The sequence below is a fragment of the Homo sapiens genome, chromosome 4 (genome assembly GCF_000001405.40).
Source record: "Homo sapiens chromosome 4, GRCh38.p14 Primary Assembly".
Lineage (NCBI taxonomy): Eukaryota > Metazoa > Chordata > Mammalia > Primates > Hominidae > Homo > Homo sapiens.
This window is the reverse complement of record NC_000004.12, coordinates 147,561,482-147,567,978: the sequence shown is the minus strand read 5'-3', so window position 1 is coordinate 147,567,978 and position 6,497 is coordinate 147,561,482. Positions and strand designations below refer to the sequence as shown.

The 6,497-nt window shown below is 42.4% G+C and overlaps 1 long non-coding RNA gene across 1 annotated transcript; it reads left to right on the top strand.

Moving 5' to 3' along the window:
• The first annotated feature begins 604 nt into the window (after positions 1 to 604).
• Positions 605 to 5,747, top strand: LOC124900796 (uncharacterized). The gene is made up of 3 exons (XR_007058321.1): positions 605 to 690; positions 2,686 to 2,749; positions 5,670 to 5,747. It is a non-coding gene; the product is annotated as an uncharacterized LOC124900796 (long non-coding RNA).
• The last annotated feature ends 750 nt before the right edge of the window (positions 5,748 to 6,497 follow it).

The following is a 6,497-nucleotide window of genomic DNA, read 5'->3' as shown; positions in this document are numbered from 1 at the left end:
CCCCAAGAGAAATTTGAGGAGATTCAGAATCTTGTAGCCTCCAGCTGTATGACTCCTAAACTATAATTTCTAATCTTTTGGCTAATTCGTTAGTCCTACAAAGGCAGTCTAGTTCCCAGGAAAGAAGGGGATTTGTTTTGGGAGAGGGCTGTTATCATCTTTGTTGTAAATTGTAAACTAAGTTTCTCCCAAAGTTAGATCAGCCTACACCCAGGAACGAACAAGGACAGCTTGGAGGTTAGAAGCAAGATGGAGTCGGTTAGGTCAGACCTCTTTCACTGTCTCAGTTATAATTTTGCAATGGCAGTTTCAGTTGTTGATCTGGCAGATGTTTTCTTTTCCCATCTGGAAAGAGGATCAAAGCAGAGGACATTTATGCAGAAAAGATAGCAAAATATATTCCATGCTGCAAGGTTATGTTAACTCTTCAGGTTTTTGTCACAGTATAGTAGGAAGGAACTTTGTGTATCTTAACATTCCACAGAGCATCATAGTATTTATTATATTGATGACATCATGTTAATTGTGTTGGTGCAAGGAAGTGGGAAGTATTCTGGATACCTTGGCAAGACCCATGGGTCTTGCGTCATAGCCTGAGAGATAAATCCTACAATGATTTAGGGGTCTGCCATACTTATGAAGATTTTAGGGACTCAATGGTTTGGGCTATGCAGGGATATCCCCTTTAAGGTAAAGCAAATGTTATCGTACTTCAAACTTTTCACCCCCAAAAAAGAGCACAGTAGCAATGGGCCTCTTTGGACTGTAGTGACAGTACATATTCTACTTCAGAATACTGCTTTGACTAATTTCTTAGGTAAGTTGGGAGACTATTTTGAGTGGAGCTCAAAGAAGGCTCAGAAGCAGGTGCAGCCTGTAGTGCAAGCTACTTTACTGCTTAGGCCAGAAGACCAGGCATATCCAATGGAATTAGGAGTAATCATGCTAGGTAGGGATGATGTGCAGAGTTTCTGGAAAGCCCCAGTAAGAGGTATGCAGGAAAGAAGTCTAGAATGAGCACAAATTAGCATATCAGAGAGGTACTCACCATTTGAAAAACAGCTTCTAGAATGCTACCACAGTAGAAATTGAGTGCCTGACAATGGGAGTATCAAATAACTATGGGCTTTGTCATGAGTTAGATTCCCCAAGTCATAATGTCAGGAAGGTGAAGTTACAATCTTGTATGATAGAAATACTACATTTGGGTTTCATTCCTGTAATCCTGGCACTTTGGGAAGCAGAGGTGGGAGGGTCATTTGAGGCCAGGAGTTTGAGACCAAACTGCAACATAGCGAGACCTCGTTTCTACAAAAATGAAAAAAAACTTAGCTGGACATGGTGGCATGTGCCTGTAGTCCTAGCAACTCAGTGAGGCTAAGGTGGGAGGATTGCTTGAGCCCAGGAGTCCAAGGTTACACTGAACTATGATTGTGACACTGCACTCCAGCCTGGGTAAAAGAGTGAGACCCTGTCTCTAAAAAAAATTACTAAATAAAAGCACTTTAGGGAGCTTGTCAGGGGGCACAAATAAGTCACAAAATTCCAAGGACAAAGAGAAAAATCACAGATGTGTGAAGAGAGAATAAAAGAACATACCATTTTAAATAAAAATGTGATTGTTAAATGTCTCATCAACAAATATGGATACTGAGGACACAAGCAATACTTTCAAACTTTTGATAGAAAATGACTCTGTACCTAGAATTTGTTACCCAGCAAAACTATCAATCCAGTACAGGGAAAAAATAAAGACATTTTCCAATATTTTCAAAATAAAGTCATTTTTTTCCATTAAAAAAATTACCCAGGGATGTTTACTAGAAAAAAAAAATAAAGAACTTAAAAAGATACAGCATTCAGAAACAGAAACCAGGAGTTCAGTGGAAATCAGTTGCAGCCATCCTGCAGCTACATTTGGGATTCATGCCTGTAATCCCAGCACTTTAGGAGGCAGAAGTGGGAAGATCACTTGAGGCCAGGAGTCATCCTGCAACTGCTTTCCTTGAAAGAACAGAATGCAATAATAGCACATAATAGAACAGGAAGCACAGGCTCTGTAAAGAACATCTTTTAAAAAATGGTGTCCATCCCCAACTTGTGTAATTAAAAACACAGAGCATCTTAATATCCTGAAAGTGTATTTCTCTATAGTCATCAAAATAATAAAAGGAAGACAATTAGAAGGTAAAAAAAACTTTATGTCATGCATAGTCCAAATACAAAATGAAGCAAGGCCCACACTGCCCTTCTGGTTTGTACTGCAGTTTCTAGATAGTTCTGCCTGGTCCTGTCTTGGTCAGAAGATGAGGCTTTCCCATTGTGATACTGTCATCCTGAGGCAAGAGAATAGGGCCTGGAGGCAGGGAACCTAAGGACTTCCTAGAACTAAATCAAACGAAACACTTTAGCTATGACAGGAAATATCCTCTTCATTTATATAGGGCATACACCAAATAAATAACTTTGTAACTTCACTTTAGCTTCTTCATTTACATAGGGCACACACCAAGTAACCACTGGAAACCTCTAGAGTGTATATAAACCCCGGAAAATTCTGTAACTGGGCTCTTGAGCTACTTGCTCAGGCCCGCTCCCATCCTGTGGAGTGTACTTTTGTTTTCAGTAAATCTTTGCTTTTGTTGCTTCATTCTTTCCATGCTTCATTTGTGCGTTTTGTTCAAGATGCCAAGAACCTGGACATCCTCCACCAGAACAATCTCACAACATGTCAAGTTTCCAGAGATTGGTGAGCATTTTCTCAAACTAAATACTCATTGATGATGGGTGGTAAATGCTCCTTGGATGTTAACGTGAGTGACAGCTTGGGTCGAGTCAGGTTCCACTCCATTCTTTTTATTGGGATGGAAAGGTCTTCCTCTACCCTTTCCTTGGGTTTTGTCCAGTTCTTCCTCACATTTCTGATAGGCCCTTCTGCTTTCTTTTACATCCTCTCCATCCCAATCTTATCTACTTTCTGGGAGTAGAAGCATTGATACTGCAGACACACTTCTGGGTCTTTATGACTGGCATTTTGTCCAGTGGCTTCGATTTTACTCTGAGTGTTATAGACTTTGTGGCTACTTCCAAAGTGGGTAACTCATTTCTGTTATAACAAGATATACAAAGGAAATTTCCCATTGGTTCAGAATTTTAGCTAAACTCTCAAAGCAGAGGAAAATGGTTAAAGTATCCCCACATTCTTTTTCTTTTTTTTTTTTTTGGTGGAGTCTTCCTTTGTCGCCCAGGCTGGAGTGCAGTGGCGCGATCTCGGCTCACTGCAACTTCTGCCTCCTGGGTTCAAGTGATTCTCCTGCCTCAGCCTCCCTAGTAGCTGGGATTACAGGTGGCTGCCACCATGCCCGGCTCATTTTTTTTTGTATTTTTAGTAGAGATGGTGCTTTGCCATGTTGGCCAGGCTGGTCTTGAACTCCTTGAGCTCAGGTGATCCACCCGCCTCGGCCTCCCAAAGTGCTGTGATTACAGGCACGAGCCACCGCGCCTGACCCAAGTATCCCCACATTCTAAAGAGAAGTGTTAGAGATTCACTATTTGCTAAGGATTGGCTACTGGGCAGCCAGACTGGCACAGCTACCATTGCCCGCAACAGCTTACTTCACAGAAGGCTATTTGTGGAAGGACACATGACTGTGATGACGGAATCTCCAAGGGACTTCCCCTGCCATCATCAAGCCTAGAGCCATCCTTGACGGATGCTCTCTGAGTTGTGGAGTCACAGCTCCATGGAACTGGAGTAGTTTGGTGAGAGAATTATTGGGAGGGTTTTCTTCTTTAAATAGTTTAAATAACGTGGTGGGAGTGCTTTCCTGGAGTTTGGGAGCATGCGTGACTCCAGAGACCAGTGCTTACTGGTCACCTCGATAATTTTAAAGACAAGGAGAGGCTGACTGAAGTTTCCTCTGGCAGCTGAGGGCAGCTATGAGGGAAAGCCGCATTTAGAGGACAGGGCATCAAGGGCTAAATGGATGCCAGGCAGGTGGCAAGCCTCAAGTCTGCTTGAAAGATCTTTGTCTTCCTGAGTGAGGAGGCCTTGGCAGGAAGAGGCCATGGGGTGTACTGCCAGAGGATAGAGTTGGGTGGGGGTGGTGATGAGATAACACCTGGAAGGTGATTTAAGTGCATTGCTCATGTCAGGAAAGGGTGCAATTTGGAGATCTCTGCAGCTTTGTGTGTGGCTTTTGTTCATCAACGCTGTCAATGAACACCTGCCACATTAAAGGGCCCAGGCAACTATTGTTGGCCAAAGGAGAACCACCAACATGACCTAAGTGAAAATTCCTTTGCTCCTTTCTCCTCTGATACCTCCTTTCCCTTCCTCTGCATCAGATGATCCTGCAGTAAGAAGGGAAGAAAATTGGAAAGAGCAAGATCATTCCATCTTTCTCCACTGCTGTCCTGAGTGTGGGTCAGGCCTGAACTGGAGGAAGGAAAAGAGCCTTGAAATGATGGTAGGATTTTGGTTAGACTGAACTGGACATTTTAACATCTAAGAACATGACTTTTCTAATATCTGAAAGTGGCAGCATCTGCTTGGGTTAGTATTCTCTACTAAAAATACAAAAACTAGCCGGGCATGGTGGCGCATGCCTGTAATCCCAGCTACTCAGGAGGCTGAGGCAGGAGAATTGCTTGAACCTGAGGGGTGGAGGTTGCAGTGAGCCAAGACAGAGCCACTGCACTCCAGCCTGGGCTACAGAGTGAGACTCTGTCTCAAAAACAAACAAACAAACAAACAAACAAAAACTCTGCTCCCCAAATGCTGGGGGAGACTGATTTTAGTAATAATAAAATTCCTGTCTCCACACAGCCCACTCTGTGTGAATTACTCTTTCTCTATTGCAATTCCGCTGTCTTGATAAATCAGCTCTGTCTAGGCAGTGGGCAAGGTGATTACAAGATTTCAATAAAGGAAGTGATTAGGGGCAGGGGCTCTGGGTTGGTTGCATATGGAAGGCATGCTTTCAGGGAAGTTCTTTATTATCTCTAGATATGGCAAAATCTGGGAGGGGCACTCCCATCCCAGGTCAGCAAGGCCTAGATGCCAAAGCATCAAATACAGAAATGAGAGAATATGGTTATTACAGGAATGTTTGAAGGCAGTAGGAAAGGAATAAAAAGAGCTGTTCTCTGATGTTACCTAATTAGGTTCATCCTCTGTACTCTTTAAGAGTAACCCTGGCAGATCCCAACCCTTTCCTGCCACTTTCAGGTGTTAGAAAATCATGTTCCTGGATGCTAAAATGTCCAGTTTAGTCTAACCCCAAACCTAACTGATCATCATTTCAAGGTTTTGTCTCTTCCTCCAGTTCAGTTTAGTAAAATGATTAATTCATATGGTGGGCCAGAGTTGGGGAGGGAAGACAGACTTTAATTTTTCCTTTTATAAAATATATATACATATTTTTACCATGTTTATGCATTCCTTTTATAGACAACATGTACCATTTCAAAAAATCTCTTACAAAAGAAACATAAAAAATAGTTTTTAGAATCTATATTTTTGAATTTCCCATTACAAAAAAACTCTATAAAAATGCTACTGGTTGTATTTGATAAAAATTTTGCACTTGATTTTCCACTATTTAATTTAGTATTGATCAAACTCTTTGAAGGTGACAAAGAGTGTTTTTCTTTCTTTCCATTTTCAGCTACTGCCTTCTTAAGCAGATTTTCAATGACCTAAGTTCCACTGGAAGTAGACCTAACATAACTAGGATGAACAGGAAACCTCTGAATGTGAAAGTGAACACTATTAATACTTACATGAAGGCAACAGGCATGAACTGGAACAACCTTGGCCATGCTGGGACGTATGTTCACCCTAAGCAAAGGTCTTCTTCATTGGATTCTGTTTGCTTTATGGATAAACTTCAAACTCTTTAGAAAAGCACACAGCCCTGTATAATTTGGCCCTAGCCTCTCTCATGCTACTCCATGCTTCCATTTTATGCTTGGGCAGAGTGTAACTGCTTGTAGAGCTATCCCTGACCCACCGGCAAGCTATGCTTAACCCTCTGCTTGTTTCTGGAAGTTGGCCCATTCTGCACCCCACCTGATTGACCTCTCTCTTCACAGGAATGATGCTTATCCCTACTCAACAATTTTGTTAATTTCCTGCAGAAGAGCCTTGAGGGGGCAGCCTGTGCTACCATGTGCTTATTTGTTTATTCATTTATTTACTTTGAGATAGGGTCTTACTCTGTTGCCCAGGCTGGAGTACAGTGGTTTGATCATGGCTCACTGCAGCCTCAAGGTGCTGGGTTCAAGATATCCTCCCATCTCAGCCACCCAAGTAACTGGGGCTATAGGCACCACCATGCCCAAATAATTTTTGTATTTTTCATAGAGATGGGTTTCACTATGTTGCCCAAGCTGGTCTCGAACTCCTGGGCTCAAGCAATCTGCTCACCTTGGCCTCCCAAAGTGCTGGGGTTACAGGTGTGAGCCACCGCACCCAGCTTATGTGCTTATTTTTA